This window comes from Homo sapiens, chromosome 19 (genome assembly GCF_000001405.40).
Source record: "Homo sapiens chromosome 19, GRCh38.p14 Primary Assembly".
Classification (NCBI taxonomy): Eukaryota; Metazoa; Chordata; class Mammalia; order Primates; family Hominidae; genus Homo; species Homo sapiens.
The window spans coordinates 35,471,423-35,490,516 of record NC_000019.10 but is presented as its reverse complement, the minus strand read 5'-3'; the positions used below and the strand labels follow the sequence as shown (position 1 = coordinate 35,490,516).

The window sequence follows — 19,094 nt, the reverse complement described above, 5'->3', positions numbered from 1 at the left end:
TGCTCATCTGCCTCCTTGGCAATATAAAGAGCAAGCACTGAGGCCCCGCCTCAGAGCACCCCAAACTTGACGCCATGAAGATCCCGGTCCTTCCTGCCGTGGTGCTCCTCTCCCTCCTGGTGCTCCACTCTGCCCAGGGAGCCACCCTGGGTGGTCCTGAGGTGAGCACGTCACCTGCATTTTTATTCTTATACGTGTTACCCACCTACCCCTCCATCTCTCTACCTCCTGTCCATTCCTGGATAAGTGGCTCTTAGTTTTGGATTCTGATGGGGGCTGAAGAAACTGGGGCTCTGAGGAAGGGAGGAGGGAACAGAGCATCCCTGGGGAGACATTTGGGACAGAGATGCTCCTCTTTCTGGAAGGGATGGTGAAGTGTGTTGGGGAGGCTCGTGTACTGAACCTTGGGACTGAGTGGGTGGTCTGGGTTCAGACTATCTCCACCATGGGCTCTCAAGAGTGTTCACCCATTCCGTTCCAGCTGCACACATGCCTGGGGACGTGCAGGGGAAGAGGGGGAACTGGAGAACGGCAATGTGAGGCAGAGCAGCTCCAAACCCAGGCCTGCATCCACATGGGCAGCAGGTGGAGAGGGTGAAGCAAAGCAAAAAACTAGCTAGTTCTGCCTGCAGCTGACTTAACTCAAAGAGGAGTGGGGCTGGGGTGTTCTGGAGACACCCCTGCTTAGCTCCTCTTTGCTTCATTTGTGCCCCTGGGAGTGGTGCCCAGGTGACGGGTGGCTCCCTGCTGTCTCTGGAGCATAGGCCACAGTGAGAATCTTTACCATCCAGTCCTCAGCCAGAGAGGAATCCTGATGCCTATTCCGGATTTAAAAGTCTAAGACAGGGGCACAGGCTCAGCTGCTAAGGACCAAGCCAGTGGTGTCACTGAGCTGGGGGGGCTGTCAGGGCCTGAGGTGAAATGGGGCCAACTTTCCCAGTCTGAAAGGGCAGCTTTCACCCCACCTGACGCCATGGATTGGGAAGATGTGCCTAGAGTTTTACATTTTTCAGGGGAAACTAGAAATCTGGATGAATTTATGAATTCTTACTAATTCAAAATGTCTAATTCAAACCAAAAAACAAATGACCAAATTTTTATGAGATCTAAGCATCTGGATCCAGCCTGCGGGCTCCGTGTTGGGCTCTGTCATGGGGAAGACACGATGGGACACACTGAGGCCTGGGGTGGGGTCCCCATGGAGGGGGATTATGGAACCTCCAACAGTGGTGGCAATAAATCCACAAAGCAAAGCAACCTCGATCAGTGAGAGGCAGGCGGGTCACCTCAGCAGCTGGGCTCCCACCTGCTCGCAAATCTTTCCCATCCAGCTATACGGACTGAGCGTGGGTGTCTCCAGAACACCCCACCTCTTAGACTTAAGTCAACTGCAGGACAGCACTAGCTAGCTTTTCCGGAGAGGAATGCTCGGCTCCAGGCTTTCTGCCTGCTGCCCATGGTGACACTGCTTACATGTACCATTCTCCAATTCCCCCTCCTCACCCTGCACATCCGCCAACCATGTGCGCGACTGGAACGGAGACCATGGTGGGGAATGGGTTGCGTTCTTTCGGGGACTGGGCTGTGGATGAAGGCAGAGCTGGCAGACAGGGATGTGGGCAAGGGCCCTGGCATCACGTGACCCCCTGCCGCCTTTTCTCCCTCTCCTTTTCCAGGAAGAAAGCACCATTGAGAATTATGCGTCACGACCCGAGGTAAGCCGTCTGTTTTCCCCGGCCCTCCAGCCACGAGTCTGTCCTCTCTCTCTTTTTGCTTCTTAGCAACTTTCCTAACACCCTGCGTTTCTGCCTAGGCCTTTAACACCCCGTTCCTGAACATCGACAAATTGCGATCTGTGAGTACGCTTCTCTGGTGCTACCCCCACGAATACCCTCATCACAGAGGGGATAAACGCCTTGGTAGAGAGCTTGCAAAGCTGCCACGGTTCCTTCACCTTCTCCAGAGGGCTGGGGGCTAAGCTCTGGCCTCCCCTGGAGCTGACCTGCTTCTGCTGTCTCTCTTCCTCCTCAGGCGTTTAAGGCTGATGAGTTCCTGAACTGGCACGCCCTCTTTGAGGTGAGTGCTCCGGCGCCCCTTGCCCTCCTCGGTTGTCTGCAGTCATCCCAGGGTAGTGGCCACACATTTTGGCTTTAAATGTATGGGTTGGTTCCTGATCTCTGGGAGGGAGTGACTGTCCTGCCTGGATGCTGCCCAATGGGCTGTCAACGGAAGAAAGCTTCCCCCGGCGCCAGTCCTGGCTACCCGTGTTTTCCTAAGATGGTGGTGGAGGAGCAGGGCCCCAAGGACAATTGCAGAAGAGGAAGAGGCTAATCGGTCAAGATTTTATTTGAATCCCCTCATCCTCTATGGAAAAACTGAGGCCCACCCGCACTTAGAAGGCAAAGTCAGCGACAGAGCTGGGGCCCGCGTCTCCTGACTCTGCACTGACTTCTCACATGGCCTCATGCGAACGCCTTCAGCTCCCTCGGCCTCCGCTTCCTCTGTGATGTGGGGATGATGACAATTCCCACCACAAAAGGTTGCTGTAAAAACCCACTGAAATCATGCTTGTAGAGCAGCCCGTGCAAGGCAGACACAGACTAAGGCCTCAGGAAATATTAGCTCTTGATAAAGTAATGACAAAATAATGACATTATTGTTACTATGGTTACTGTGGGAGTTCATTAAGGGAATGCTTACCCATCCATGCCCGGCTGACCTGCAACACATCACTCTCTTTCTCTTTCTTTCTTTTAGTCTATCAAAAGGAAACTTCCTTTCCTCAACTGGGATGCCTTTCCTAAGGTAAGAGGTGTGGGCATTAGGAGGGTATGGAGCTTGGGGGTAAGGGAAGAAGCAGAAGATATGGGAGAGAGAGTGGGGACAGGGAAAGGAGGATCAGCCTTCTCACCAAACTGAAGGGAGGTCTTAGCTACTACATATAGAGGAGAACGGGAACTCACACCGAGGCAGAAATTCCTTTCCATCCATGCCATCCTATACTGGGCACCCACGGGTTCCCCATCTAACCCTGACCCCTCTCCCTCTAGCTGAAAGGACTGAGGAGCGCAACTCCTGATGCCCAGTGACCATGACCTCCACTGGAAGAGGGGGCTAGCGTGAGCGCTGATTCTCAACCTACCATAACTCTTTCCTGCCTCAGGAACTCCAATAAAACATTTTCCATCCAACAGCTCCTGTATCTGCGTCTCTGTCCTCCTACTGGGCTTTACAAAGGAATTAAGATGGAATGAGCCCCAAGGCTGATAGGTAGAAATCTTGACTTCCAAGAGGAGAGTAAGTAGGGAGACAGGAGGAAATAGAAAGGACACACCAAGATGGCAAGAGACCCCCTTGTGTCTTAGCTCCTTAGTGTTGGCTGGGATCCTTGAGGAGCATGAAGCTATGACTTGCTTAGTAAGATGCTCAGGGAATCTCTAAACCAAAAGGTATCTGAGACAGGTCTCATTCTCTTAAGGGGGAGCTCCTGGACCCAGAAAACTGTCCTGTTGGTTTGAGCAATAAAGACAGCTCAAACCAGTACCAAGCAACGATAGATTTGTCAGAGGTCAGGGCCACCTCCATTCAGAGGCCATTCACGGGTTGCCAATTTGTAACCCAAAAAGTATCTGAGACAGGTCTCAATCAATTGAGAAGTTTATTTTGCCAAGGTTAAGGACAATGCCGGGGAGAAAAAAATACAGAATCAGAGGAACAGTCTGTGGTCTGTGCCTTTCTCCAAAGATGATTTTGAGAGCTTCAGTATTTAAAGGGGAAAAGCGGGGAAAGAGGGAGGGAATGGTCACATCACTGAATCCACATGTTATAAGAGAAAAGGAGCAGGTAGGGGAATAGTCCATTATATATTTGTCTCATGCTCAGTAAATCCAGCAGTTTACATAAGATATGGTGAACATAGAATAGCTATCTGTTGAGATAGTTAACCTTTTACCTGTAGCTATCTGTTTAGGAACAAAAGGAAAGGCAGCTTCTGGCATGTCTCAGCTTTCGGCTTATCTTTTTTCCTTTCGACAGAGTGAATTGGGGTCCCAAGTTTTTATTTTCCTTTCACAAATCAAACCTACTCCCTGACCTGTTGGCATTCCCCCTTACCTACCTTCTGAAAACCTGATTCCCTTTGTAGTGGCGATTTTGTGTAACAGAGCTATCTGAAATCCAAAGTTCAGGACCCAGCTTCAATCACATGAGCCCATCTGAAATCCTTTTTTTTTTTGGAATTAGGTGGGCTCTAAATAAAGAAAACTAGCAGCGTGACCTTGAGTCTTCCTAAGCCTCTGTTTCTTTATCCGTGAAATGAGTATGGAGATAAATAAGAATGATAACCACTCTGTGGTGTTGTTATGAAGGTCAAATGACATAAGTATATAAAGCCCCTTGCACACGGCCAGGCATATAGTAGATAGTGTATCTCTACTCCCCCAGTTTCAACCAGAGAGCAGCCGCAATGATCCAGATTCACTCATTCACTCGCGCATCCATCCATCCACCCAGCCATCCACCCACCCATCCACCCATCCACCCACCCATCCATCCATCCATCCATCCATCCATCCATCCATCCATCCATCCATCCATCCACTGCAAAGATCTTGAAACATGAAATGGATTTAGTTTTGCTTCCTGTAGATGTATTTTCTCTGACCCAATTTGTGTACTTAAAATACTAAACTAGTTGGAATTGTTTCTGGTTTCTCTTGAAAACTGGGAAGATTAGAGAACAGTGGACCTGCGACTGGCTTAAAGCCAAGTAGCAGCTGCCCTCTTTACACAGGACATGGCTTCCAGGGAACTTTCTACTTGGCAAGCTTCACTTGTTTACATTGCCTTTGGCCTTTATAAGCAACTGCGTTTGTAAACCATCAACTGCAGTTTAATCGAGGAAGTGGACTACAAGGGAAATTAAACTTGGTTCCTACTTTCAAGGCGCTTACAGACCAGGTGAATGAGACATGTAAATGTTCCTGGCCGGGCACGGTGGCTCACACCTGTAATCCCAGCACTTTGGGAGGCCAAGGTGGGTGTATCCCTTGAGGTCAGGAGTTTGAGACCAGCCTGGGTAACATGGCAAAACCCCATCTCTACTAAAAACACAAAATTAGGTGGGCGGATCACATGAGGTCAGGAGTTCGAGACCAGCCTAGCCAACATGGTGAAACCCCATCTCTACTAAAAATACAAAACTGAGCCGGGTGTGGTGATGCATGTCTGTAATCCCAGCTACTCAGGAGGCTGAGGCACGAGAATCGCTTGAATCCGGAAGGCGGAGGTTGCAGTGAGCCAAAATTGTACCACTACACTCCAGCCTCGGTGAGAGAGCAAGACTCTGTCAAAAAAAAAAAAAAAGTTGCTTATGCTCTTCCTTCCAATACACACAAAGGAGAGGAAAGCTATAAATGGAATAACCAACAGAGAAGAAAACTATGGACACTGGTGAAATGCCACAATCAGTTGAAATACTTAGTGAAGATTGTGCACTCACAAACTAGGTGATAGGAAATGGAGTACAGGAAGAAGAGGGGAGGTGCTTAAGGGACACCCATCGAGTGACTAGGTTTTAGGGGAGGAGTAAAGCATCCCCAGGGGACTAGGAGTCACGATACACAAGTTAAGAGTATCTCTGAGATAAGGCGGTAGTTCTCAAAGTGTGGTCCCCACGCTGGCAGCACCAGGATCCCCTGGGAACTGAAAAGAAATGCAAATTCTTGGGCCCCACTTCAGATCTACTAAGTGCGAAACCAGGGGTGGGGCCCAGCAATCTGTGTTTTGACAAGCCCTCTAAGCAAGTCTGATTCACTAAAGTCTGAGAACCACTTCAAAAAGGAACGTCAGAGAACTTAAGATTAACCCAGAATCAGGATAGTAGTTGCCCCTTAGATGGAGAGATCCCATGTGATAGGAGAGTGGCACATAGGAGATAAGGGGGGACGGTGTGTGACAGAAGCCACTTCTATATCATGTTTCATTTCTTCTTTAAATATGTACATTTTATGCACACCTATGCATGTTGTATTTCACAATAACATATTATTAAAGCCAGAGAACACCAGATCAATTTGCAAGTGCTGACAGAATACACAGTCAAGAAACAATTGGAGTCTAGAGAGACTGCAATCTGAACCAAAAAGAAAAAGACAAAGTGAAGTGTAGACAAGCTGTGCACATGAGTGACAGATGTATACTAGCTAGATCATGTGAAATTGACAAAATGCACAAACATGGGTCAGGCCATTCAGAGGATTCAAAGAATGGAAGACATAGCACCTGTTCTCCCTGGGGATGACCTGTACATTTCCCATCAGGTAGAGGAGATAACTCAACACTGGAGACTTGAATCTGCATAAGCAAATCTTATTAAATAACCTTTATTTAATAAAAGGCAGGAAGTAGTCACTCTTCATTTTATACTTTATAAAAACAATAACAAATGCATTTTTTTTTTTTGAGACGGAGTTTCACTCTGTTGCTCAGGCTGGAGTGCAGTGGTGCAATCTTGGCTCACCACAACCTCTGCTTCCCAGGTTCAAACGATTCTCCTGCCTCAGCCTCCTGAGAAGATGGAATTACATCTTCTACATGGGTGCCCGCCACCATGTCCGGCTAATTTTTGTATTTTTAGTAGAGATGGGGTTTTGCCACGTCAGCCAGGCTGGTCTTGAACTCCTGACTTCAGGTGATCCGCCTGCACTGGACTCCCAAAGTGCAGGGATTACAGGTGTGAACCACCATGCCTGGCCAACAAATGAATCTTGTGTGGATACTATACCATCTGTTCAACAGGATGTAGAGATATACACTGAGCTATGAAACAATCTCCAAGATAGAGTAAAATGAAAAAAAGAAAGTGGCAGATCATTATGCTGCCATGTGGTTAAAATAAAGATATGGTACAAATATATGCTATTATCTGCATATTATCTGCTATTATCTGGAATAAAACTTGAGAAGTAACAGTGATAACTTTTGAAAAGTTAGATACTTTCACTGTGTACCCTTTTGGATTTTATGAACAAAAATGTTTTACCATGTGCAAATTACATATTCAAAAGAATAAATTAAAATCAAAACTTTCTAGTAAAGCAAACAAACACCAAAAAAACGCTTTGCACTGTAAAGTGGTAGGGCCTAGTCCATGCAGTGACCCAGAGTAGGTGCCTCTTAACTGAATGAATGAAACTGATTTCTCACATTTACCACACCCTTTTGCTACTCAGAGTGTGGTCCCCGAGCCAGCGGCATCAGCATCACTTGGTGCTTGCTTGCTAGAAATGCAGAAGCTCTGCTCACCCAGAGCTAATGCATCAGAATTTTAACAAGACCCCTGCCCCTGGATGATTCACATGTGGAATAACGTTTGAGAAGCACGGCCTTGGGCATGATGTTGAGTGCTATGCAGAAGGCCTTCAAGGAGTTATGATCCAGTTGATACTTACGATAAAGGAAGCATCCAGGGAGAAGGCACTAGATACCTTAGAACGATATGTTTAAATCTGACAGAAGGGAGGAGATAGTTTTGCACCAGGGTAAGAAAACTGGGGAAAGTAACTTTGAATTTGGCATTCATAAATGAACTTAAAAAAAAAAAAAGTCCCTGTCATACTCAGCCAGGACATAAAGGGACTAAAAACCAAAGCCAAACTAAGTGATTACTTTGGGAGGCTTCTGGGAATCAACTCATTTAAAAAACTGGTAAATAAAGGAAATGAATCAAGGATTCATCCTTACTTTCCTCTATGAACTATATACTTCAGGGTAAACAGTTTCTCTCTCTCTCTCTTTTTTTTTTTTTTTTTTTTTTGAGACAGCGTCTTGCTCTTTCACCGAGGCTGGAGTGCAGTGGCATGATCTTGGCTGGAGGCAGCCTTCACCTCCCTGGCTCAAGCAATCCTCCTGCCTCAGCCTCCTGAGTAGTTGGAACTACAGGCACAAGCCACCACACCTGGTATATTTTTAAATTTTTTGTAGGATGGGTGTCTTGCTATGTTGCCCAGGGTGGTCTTCAACTCCTGACCTCAAGTGATCCTCTGGCCTTGGCCTCCCAAAGTGTTGAAATTACAGGCATGCGCCACCATGCCCAGCTGGCACAATTTTTCTTTATACGAGAATTTGAAACTAATAAATGCAAAAGAAATAATAGAATATTTTCGTTTTTCAAAATTTAATAAAATAATGAATGTAGGCTAGCATCTGTAGGGAAGGAAAAAAACATTTTTTTCTACTGTCTTAGGTTCAGTGGCTGTGGCATGCTAATTACATTAACAAAAGAGGCCAGGCACAGTGGCTCATGCCTGTAATCCTAGCACTTTGGGAGGCCGAGGCAGGTGGATCACCTGAGGTCAAGAGTTCGAGACCAGCCAGACCAATATGGTGAAACGCCATCTCTACTGAAAATACAAAAATTAGCTGGGCATGGTGGCGCATGCCTGTAGTCCCAGCTACTCAGGAGGCTGAGACAGGAGAATTGCTTGAACCTGGGAGGCAGAGGTAGCAGTAAGCCGAGATCACACAACTGTACTCCAGCCTGGGCGACAGAGTGAGACTCCATCTTAAAAAAAAAAATTAACAAAAGATAGATTAGCAGGAGAAAAGGCTTATTATGCATGCATCCAGGAGCTTCACAGAAAAGAAGTGAAAACCTAAAGAAGTGGCCAGGCTTGAGGCTCATATACCGTTTTAACAAAGGGTGATAAATCGTGGAAAAGTAAGCTGGGCATGGTGGCTCATGCCTGTAATCCCAGCACTTTGGGAGGCTGAGGAAAGCGGATCACTTGAGGTCAGGAGTTCGAGACCAGCCTGGCCAACATGGTGAAACCCCATCTCTACTAAAAATACAAAAACATTAGCCAGGTGTGGTGGTGCACACCTGTAATCCCAACTACCCAGGAGCTGAGGCATGAAAATCCCTTGAACCTGGGAGGTAGAGGTTGCAGTGAGCCCAGATCACACCACTGTACTCCAGCATGGGCGACAGAGTGAGACTCTGTCTAAAAAAAAAAAAAAAAAAAATTGTGGAAAAGTGACAAAACGGTGAAAAAGGGATTTGGACATCCAGGTGATGTAAATTGTGGGAAGGTAAGTAAAATATACAGGGGAAATTAATGGAAGATAAAGGGTTATTTAGCAAGATTTGCTTATGCAGATTCAAGTCTCCAGCGTTGAGTTATCTCCTCTACCTGATGGGAAATGTATACCCTGCTTTAGGCAGAAAGGGAGAGGACAGAGAGTTCCTCTTCTGTCTGCTGCTTCTTAATTGCCTTCTACTCAAAATAATCCTTATGCTAAAGCAGCATACTTTGGAGTAGCACATGCTAATCCCTTCACATTAATGACTGCCAAACCCGGCAGGTGAAATGCTGATGGGGAAATTTATGGTGGTGGATCAGGCTCACAACCAGTGAACCCATGTATCTATCCAACACCCAGAGAGAGAAGAGACAAGCTTCTGCAGACCTGATGCAACAGAAAGCACAGGGCCCCACATAGGAAGCATTCTTGCCAAAAATCAACTCCAAACCTGATTAAAACTCTAGACTCTAGATCTAACTACCAGTTTGCAGGGGGATGAAAAGGCACAGAGGAACACAGTAAAGGATTCTACAGGAAAGATGTTAATAACTCCCCCCAACCTTGGCATTTCCTGTGAGAAATTCTAGAAAACTGATAATCCAGCTTCTTCAACAAAAACACTGTAGAAGAGTCGGGCACGGTGACTCACGCCTATAATCCCAGCACTTTGGGAGGCTGAGGTGGGCAGATCACCTGAGGTCAGGAGTTCGAGACCAGCCTGACCCACATGGAGCAACCCTGTCTCTACTAAAAATACAAAATTAGCCAGGTGTGGTGGCACATGCCTGTAATTCCAGCTACTTGGGAGGCTGAGGCAGGAGAATTGCTTGAACCCAGGAGGAGGCAGAGGTTGCAGTGAGCCGAGATTGCACCATTGCACTCCAGCCTGGGCAACAAGAGCGAAACTCCATCCAAAAAAAAAAAAAGCCACTGTAGAAAAAAAGGGAAAGGGGAAAAAAAGATAAAAATTGATGAGGCCGGGCATGGTGGCTCACACCTGTATTCCCACCACTTCAGGAGGCCGAGGGGGGTGGATCACCTGAGGTCAAGAGTTCAAAATCAGCTTGGCCTACATGGTGAAGCCCTGTCTCTACTAAAAATACAAAAATTAGTCGGGCGTGGGGGTGCACACCTGTTATTTCCAGCTATTCGGGAGGATGAGGCAGGAGAATGTCTTGAACCTGGGAGCCAGAGGTTGCAGTGAGCCAAGATTGTGCCACTGCATGCCAGCCTGGGTGACAGAATAAGACTCAGTCTCAAAAAAAAGTTGATTGAAGGGACCCATCACTTAAATGCAACATATGAATCTTGTCTATATCCTAATTTGAACAAACCAACTGGGAGAGAAAAAGATTTAGGAGACAACGAAGGAAACCTGAACACGGACATATTGATAATAAGACATTATCATCTTTGGTCTGGGCATGGCGGCTCACGCCTGTAATCTCAGCTCTTTGATTTGGGAGGCCGAGGTGGGTGGATTGCTTGAGTCCAAGAGTTCAAGACCAGCCTGGTCAACATAGTGAGATTCCGTCTCTAAAAAAAAAATTAAAAAAAAGAAACAATAAAAAAAATAAAAAGAAATTATATTTTTAGATGTGAAAATATTATTGTAGTTATGTTAAAAAAGAGTCTTTACCTTGCAGATACCTAATGATAAATCTATGTCTGAAGTAATAAACTCTTTAGGATTTGCTTCAAAATAATCCAGTGGGGGGAACAGGTTGGGGTACACAAGAAATAAGGTCGGTAATTACCTAATAAAAAACGAGGTTCATTATACTAGCTTTTTATTTTTGCAAATTTTGAAATATTCTACAATAACAGTTTCTTAAAATATTCAAAAAATTTCCAGAGTATGCTTTTAGAGGAGGGAGGGGGGAAGAGGGCCCTCCAGTGGGCAGAGCACGAAGAACTGGTAGTGCGGGATTCTGGACTGGGAACGCTGTCATTCAGCCGGGCTATCCCGTAGGCGTGGAGGCCTGGAAATGCAGGTTGGGTCAGATGATGGGGGGCTGAAAAATTTCCACTCAATCCCATCGTCAGTAAAGACAGTCCCGAAGGTGGTAACAGCCACAGCCACAATTCAATAGCAGCCATTCTTAATTTGGTTCTTATCACGCGCCAGGCTTTATGCCAAGTGCTTTGCATATATTATCTCAGTTGATCCGCAAAACAAACCTATTAGGTTGGCATCATTATCCCCATATTACAAACAAAGAAATTGAATCTCAGAGAGATAAGTACAGTCATGCTCTGTATAATGACGTTTCGGTCAACAACAGACGGCATAAACAACAGTGGTCCCAAAAGATTATATCATATTTGTACTGTACCTTTTCTATGTTTAGAAACACAAATGCTTATTGTGTTACAGTTGCCTGCAGCATTCAGTCCAGTGACATGCTGGGCAGGTTTGCAGCCTAAGAGCCATAAGCTATACCACACAGCCTAGGTGTGGAGTAGGCGATACGATAAAGGTTTGTGTAAGTGCACTCTGCTGTTCTTCATTTCTCAAAACGTATCTCCACCATTAAGTGATGACGGAGACTGTAATCTGTTCAAGCTCACACAGCCAGGACCCGGCAGAGCCAGGATTGAACCCGTACCTGCATTATCCCTGCTTTAACTGGTGTAATTTGGCCTTCACTTGCTTTATAACCTACTGTTTCATTTAAGACTTTGCTTGAAAAAAAAAATGTTTCCATTCCTTAAAAAATGTTTGGAAACCACTGCTAAGTATCCGCTGGAGGCATTTAAGGTGGTACAACTTAGCGGTTAGAATATGAGTTATAAAATCAGTCAGACCTGATTTCAAATTCTGTTCCTACCACTTTACTAGCTACGTGACCTCTGGGTGGCTACTCTGTCAGGGCCAAAGTTTCATCATTTGTAAAGTGGGAATAATAGCAATACTTCACAAGGGTTTAGAAAACCTCAGTAAATGTTAGCCTAGATTTTTTCATGTTAATAAAAGGTAGCTGTTATTATTATGCTATAAAACTCCACTTAGATAATGACTCAGATAGAGTCATACTTAGAGAAATAATATTTGCAACTGTATTCACTTGCTCTCTTCTGACAGATGAGGAAACTGAGGCCCATAAAGATGAAGTGACTTTCCTAAGAGCACCCACAGAAGAAATAGCAGAGCCAGGCTTTCAACTCAGGTTCTATTAGATTTCAGAGCCCTAGAATTTTTAACTATTTTAGTTTCTTGTGTTGGCTGGGTGCAGTGGTTCACATCTATAATCCTAGTGCTTTGGGAGGCCAAGGCAGGTGGATCATTTGAGGCCAAGAGTTCAAGACCAGCCTCTGCAAGATAGTGAGACCCCTGTTTCTCCAAAAAATCATGAAAAAATTAGCCAGGCATGGTGGTGCATGCTTGTAGCCCCAGCTACTTGGGAGGCTGAGGTGAGAGGATCACTTAGCCCAAGGAGTTCAAGGCTACAGTGAGCTATGATGGCAACACTACACTCCAGTCTGAACCAGACCCTGGCTTAAAAAAAAAAAAAAAAAGCGGGGGGGAGGGGCAGGGGTGGGCATGGTGGCTCATGCCTGTAATCCCAGCACTTTGGGAGGCTGAGGCAGGTGGATCACGAGGTCAGGTGTCCAAGACCAGCCTGGCCAACATAGTGAAACCCTGTGTCTACTAAAAATACAAAAAATTAGCTGGGTGTAGTGGCAGGCACCTGTAATCGCAGCTACTCAGGAGGCTGAGGCAGGAGAATCGCTTGAACCCGGTGGAGGTTGCAGTGAGCTGAGAGCCAAGATCATGCTACTGAACTCCAGCCTGGGCGATAGAGCGAGACTCTGTCTCAAAAAAAAAAAACAATGGATGTGTAAAATAGGGTGGACCACATGGTGGAATGGTAGCTGTCCAGCAATAAAATAAGAGCGCAGTCCGGGTGTGGTGGCTCACATCTGAAATCCCAGCACTTTGGGAGGCTGAGGTGGGCAGACCAAGAGGTCAGGAGTTCAAGACCAGCCTGACCAACATGGTAAAACCCTATCTCTACTAAAAATACAAAAATTAGCCAGGCGTGGTGGCATGTGTCTGTAATCTCAGCTACTCAGGAGGCTAATGTAGGAGAATGGTGTGAACCCAGGAGGCGGAGGTTTCAGTGAGCCGAGATTACACCACTGCACTCCAGTCTGGGCAACAGAGCAAGGCTCCGTCTTAAATAATTAAAAAAAAAAAACAATTGAGGAATGTGTACACAGGAGTTTGTTAATATGGTTTCTCATATCTTTATGTGTGTTTGAAATACTTCATAGCATAACATTTTATTTTATTTATTTTTGACACTGAATCTCACACTGTCACTCAGGCCAGAGTGCAGTGACACAAACATAGCTCACTGTAGCTTCGACCTCCTGGGCTCAAGCAATCCTCCTGCCTCAGCCTTCTGTGTAGCTGGGACTTCAAGTGCATGCCAACACGCCTGACTAATTTTTAAAATTTTTTGTAGAGATGGGGTCTCACTATGTTGTCCAGGCTGGTCCTGAACTCCTGGGCTCAACTCATCCTCCTGCCTCAGCCTTCCAAAGTGTTGGGATTATAGTAGTGAGCCACCATGCCCAGCCTAACATAATATTTTAAGGCAACCACAATAAAGACACCTTAACTTCAATCTGTCCAAAGCCATTCAGCTGTGAGGGACAAGGTTGAGAATTCTGGTGGCTGACGGGGTGCTCTTCATGTTACCTCCTAAACATAGTCCCTCCTGAGAGCCTGATTTACTTCATTACAAACCCCAACAATGGCGGCACTGTGGAGGCGGCCCGAGAACTTCAACAGGGTGAAATGGCCTCAGATGCTCCTGAGAAATGAACACAGCACCCCGCCCTTGATGACTATCATCCCATTAAGACCTCCCACTACATTTTCTGACACCCAACAGACCAACTGACCACAACATTCCTGGGTTCTCCTCCCCTAAATCAATGACAACCCAAACAAACAAAAATCCCCATGGCTCTCCCATGGAAAGATGCCTCATTTCCCTCACCTGCACCTGAGTCTACTTCCCAGGCTGGTGACCTGAGGTAATGCTCCTTAGCGCCCCCTACAGCAAGTGACCGCTTTTGTATTTAGCCTCCTACTGAGCCTCTATCACCCCTCCCCGAAAGCCCTTTTTATGTTAAATCAGTTCATGCTCTCCCTCTATTCTCTACTCTCTACCCTCCCATGATTTCCCATTACTTCGTAATAAAACCCCATAGATTTTACTATGGGCTTCATCTCCTACCTCCCCCTCCCATCTTGATCACTTTGCTCCAGCCCTCTGCACCCCATTCCAGCCTCCTCAAGGGCTCTTCAAAAGGCCACGTTCCCTCTGCCTGCATGACTCATTCCCTTCTTCCCTTGCTCCCTCACTTCATCCAGGTCTCTGTGGCAATGACACCTCCTCCAAGAGGCCTTGCCAGTCTGATTATTCAACGTAATCTTGTTTTATTTGTTGTTCTAGCCAGAAACCCTCGCACATTATGAAAAACCTCACTCCCCATACAGAGCACCCCTCATCACTCATTCCCAATGTAGCATCAGGGATGGAGCCTGGATGTCCCTCCAGCACTGGTGATCTGATGAGAAAATCTCTCAGGACGTCCAGTTATCACAGATTCCTCTTGTGGCTTATTCTCAGGGTCATCCTGCTTACTAATTCCTAACAGAACATCTGGGGCCCCTCTCCAATAGGGGCAGAAACTAGGAAGACTTTCAATTTTCACTCCTTAAGTTATCTCGAGATGAGATTTTTCAGAGTCACAGAGGTAGGCTAACTGGATTGGGACCACGAAGTGTCATTCACTGTACAACTTAAAAACTGTGTCTCATTGGCCAGGTGCAGTGGCTCGCACCTGTAATGCCAGCACTTCGGGAGGCCGAGGTGGGTGGATCACCTGAGGTCAGGAGTTCGACACCAGCCTGGCCAACATGAGGAAACCCTGTCTCTACTAAAAACACAAAAATTAGCTCGGCATGGTGGCACGTGCCTGGAGCTACTCAGGAGGCTGAGATAGGAGAATCGCTTGAATCCAAGAGGCGGAGGTTGCAGTGAGCCGAGATCGTGCCACTACACTCCAGTGTGGGCGACAGAGCAAGACGCCATCTCAAAAAAAAAAAAATTATCTCTCATTAACAGGTCACCTCGTTATTTCTTATAAATCCGATCATCTGCACAACTGTATTGACCTGAGTATATTTTTGTATCATTCATTCAATGTAAATATTTAGAACACAGCACAATTTTTGGAAAAAATTTTGCTGTTGCATCTGTTCATTTCTCAGCATTTCATTCTCAGTATTCAGTTTCTCAATGAAACCTCCCAAAACCTTACTGGACTTCAGAGAAGCCTTGTCCGGCTGCCTTCCCAAGAAGACCCTGCCTAGGAATAAAATTTCCTCTCCTTGAGGCCCAAATTCACAGTTCTTACTATTTGTGGATAAGTCAATTTTCAGTTCCAACTTGATTTCCAGTTCAATGCTGACTCCTCTGGTCCTCTTGGCTCCATGGTGTGGGCAGGATCCAGAGCTTCAAAATTTACATCCATCACTCTTCTCAGCAGGAACACCTCAGCCCCAACTTCTGCTTCCCTTCTGTCCTCATGCACTTCCAGTCGGGGCTAATGTGCGCATGCGTCCTGGTTCTGGACGCTCTTTTTTTTTTTTGAGATGGAATTTCACTCTTGTTGCCCAGGCTGGAGTGCAATGGTGCAATCTCAACTCCCGGGTTCAAGCGATTCTCCTGCCTCAGCCTCCTGAGTAGCTGGGATTACAGGCATGCACCACCATGCCCGGCTAATTTTGTATTTTTAGTAGAGACAGGGTTTTTCCATGTTGGTCAGGCTGGTCTCGAACTCCTGACCTCAAGTGATCCACTCACCTCGGCCTCCCAAAGTGTTGGGATTACAGGCATGAGCCACCGCTCCTGGCCCGGACGCTCTCTTTTTACCGTCCACTTCTTCTAACACGCTCCCTGAGGTGCCTCAGCCCCTGGGAGGCATTCCTGGCCTTTTGTCACACCTGTTTTGTTTGAGCCACTGCACCGATAGGCACCTTGAGGCCTCGCGGGAGGACGGCCCTCCCTTCCCTGTGTGCAGGCCCTGAAGGGAGCACCACATGGAGACAGGTACAGAAAAGGCGGGAAAGCAGAGATGCAGTGTCTGGGGCTTTGAGGCTGGGTCTTGAAGGGCAAGCCCGTGAGTCCCCGAATAGCGACGAAGCCGCTGAGCTTCTCAGAACCCAGAAAAGGTATAGAGGAGGAGCTCACATGCACACATACACACCCCAATCCATCCATCTGTCATCTATTCATATCTTTATTAACCAATTACATGTTGGGATGATAATCCTCTGAACATGTTGGTTTAAATAAAATATATTAATTTCGTCTGTTTCTTTTTACTTCTTTTAATTTGATTATTAGACAATTAAAAATTTTTAAATGGTGCCTGGAGCTACTCGGGAGGCTGAGGCAGGAGAATCGCTTGAATCCAAGAGGCTTGGATTTTTTAAAAAATAGCTTACATTACATTTCTTTCTTTTAATTTTTTAAAGTTATTTTATTTTTTTTTATTTTTTTGAGACAGAGTTTCGCTCTTGACACCCAGGCTGGAGTGCAATGGTACCATCTCTGCTCACTGTAACCTCCACCTCCTGGGTTCAAGTGATTCTCCTGTCTCAGCCTCCTGAGTAGCTGAGATTACGAGCGCCAGCCACCACGCCCAGCTAATGTTTGTATTTTTAGTAAAGATGGGGTTTCACCATGTTGGTCAGGCTGGTCTCAAACTCCTGACTTCAGGTGATCCACCTGCTTTGGCCTCCCAGATTGCTGGGATTACAGGCGTGAGCCACCACCCCCGGCCCCTTTTAATTTTTGTAGAGACAGAGTCTTGCTATGTTGTCCAGGCTGATCTCGAACTGGTGACCTCAAGGGTCATTCTTGCCTCAACCTCCCAAATTGCTGGGATTACAGGCATGAGCCACTGTGCCTGGCCTTGGCTTATATTGTATATCTATTGGACAATGTTGGGGTTGATAAAAAGGATTCATTGCAAAGCTCCTAACCCAGTGACTGGCTCATAATAGATATCTGATGGATTCTCTAAACATATTTTTACAGATTGCTTCCCTGTGAAAAGGTTTCTGCCCCATGGAGCTCAGCCTTAACTTGGGAGACACACAACAGTTGAGTGAACAAGCAAAGGTACTTTCAGATTATGATAAATAAGTGCCATAAAGGAAATAAAACAGCAGGAATTGGCAGCATTTAATTCAGGTGGCCGAGAGGGCCCCTCTGAGCTGGTGGTCTTTGAACTGAGCCCTGAATGACTGACAAAAGGAGCAGGCTCTGGATGGCTTGGGCAGGGCTCAAGGTTGTGGGAACAACCCCTGCAAAAGCTCTAAGGCAGCAATGAGACTTCTATGATTGAGGTAGGGAGAAGAGGTCTTGTGCTTGGGAAAAGGGTAGTTGGAAATGTACCTGCAGAGGTCAAGGTGTGGTGGGTGGCAGGTCACAGGGGCCTTGTAGGCCATGGTCACTGGTATTTGAAATGTGACAGGAAACTTTTGCAGCTGTCTCCACCCAGTTCCCGGTAGACTTAAGCCCTAAGACTCTAAGGCATCCATTGCATGTAATGAATTAAGTTATCTCCTACTGTAGTAAGTAATGGTATTAGCTAGTAGCATCCTTGGGAAAATCAAGAAAACAATCACTCAAACCATTCTCTGCAGAGCTTAATTGTCTCCCAAAACCCTAAGAAAGGTTGCAGGAGAGATATTTAGCAAAAGAGTTGAAAAAGATCACTCTGACTGCAATGTAGAGAGTGGATGGGGTGGGGGCAAGAGGCAGGAATGGAGGGAGGGCGTTCAGTAGGAAGTCTTTCAAACTGGCCTGGAAGAGAGACGGCGGTGGCTTCCATGGGGCCTGCAGTAGTCAGATAGTGAGAAGTGAACATGTATTTTGAAAACTGAAGCCAACTAGAACCAATGGATTAGATATGGAGGAAGAAGAAGGAGGAGTCAAGGATGGCTACTGAGATTTTGGCCTGAGCCACTGGATGGATGCCGGTGGTTTGGGTTCTAGTCTCAATTCTGCTGGATGACCCTGGGCAAACAAGTGACTTCTCTCTGCTGACGCTCAGTTTCCTCTTCTGTAAAACGGGGATTGCCATGGAGATGTGATGAGATTATACATGAAATGCACAGGGCTGCCACATAGCAAGCACGTAAACTGCTGTTATTATCATTGTCATCATTCCTGCGCCGCTAACATACTGATGTAGCTACACGCATGGGCTCAGGAACCAGTCAGGCCTAAGTTGAGTTCCTAAGTTGTTATGTGACCTTAGGGAGGTCACTTCACATTCCTGAGCCTCAGGGTCCTCCTCTGTGAAGGGAGTTAATGAAAATACCCTCCCTCCAGACCCAGTTGTGAGGATTCAGTGACGTCCTGGACGTGAAGTGCTTAGCCCTCAGTGTAGCTCACAGTAGTTGGTCAGTTAACAGGACCTAAACGCTAGAGTAATTTGAGTTTTCTTCTCTGTGTATGTTTGGTGAACAGTGTTGATGAAAAGAGTCAAACTGTAAAATATTTTGAAGAGATTTATTATGAGTGACCATGGCCCCGTGACACAGCCCCCAGGAGGTCCTGAGAACATTTGCCCAAGGTGGTCAGGGTGCAGCTTGGTTTTATAATTTTAGGTAGGCATGAAACATCAATCAAATACATTTTTTTTTTCTTTTGAGACGGAGTCTCGCTCTGTCCCCCGGGCTGGAGTGCAGTGGCGCGATCTCGGCTCACTGCAAGCCTCGCCTCCTAGGTTCACGCCATTCTCCTGCCCCAGCGTCCCGAATAGTTGGGACTACAGGCGCCCGCCACCACACCTGGCTAATTTTTTTTTTTTGTATTTTTAGTAGAGACGGGGTTTTGCCATGTTAGCCAGGATGATCTCAATCTCCTGACCTCGTGATCTGCCCGCCTTGGCCTCGCAAAGTGCTGGGATTA

At 46.3% G+C, this 19,094-nt stretch overlaps 1 protein-coding gene across 2 annotated transcripts, besides 1 other annotated feature; it reads left to right on the top strand.

Annotated features, from left to right (window-relative positions):
* Window positions 53–3,193, top strand: KRTDAP (keratinocyte differentiation associated protein). Of its 2 annotated transcripts, NM_207392.3 has the most exons (6): window positions 53–161; window positions 1,677–1,715; window positions 1,814–1,855; window positions 2,032–2,076; window positions 2,758–2,805; window positions 3,051–3,193. In NM_207392.3, the coding sequence occupies exons 1-6, from the start codon at window positions 75–77 to the stop codon at window positions 3,087–3,089; spliced, it is 300 nt and encodes a 99-aa protein (NP_997275.1). In that variant the 5' UTR covers window positions 53–74; the 3' UTR covers window positions 3,090–3,193. The 2 variants fall into 2 exon arrangements, with proteins under 2 accessions (NP_997275.1, NP_001231776.1); NM_001244847.2 differs by lacking the exon at window positions 1,814–1,855.
* Window positions 5,699–5,788: a silencer, noted in NCBI's record as "silent region_10527". NCBI's record gives its function as "represses an Ori minimal core promoter by ATAC-STARR-seq in GM12878 lymphoblastoid cells {active_cell/tissue: GM12878}" and the evidence as "EXISTENCE:reporter gene assay evidence [ECO:0000049][PMID:35858748]".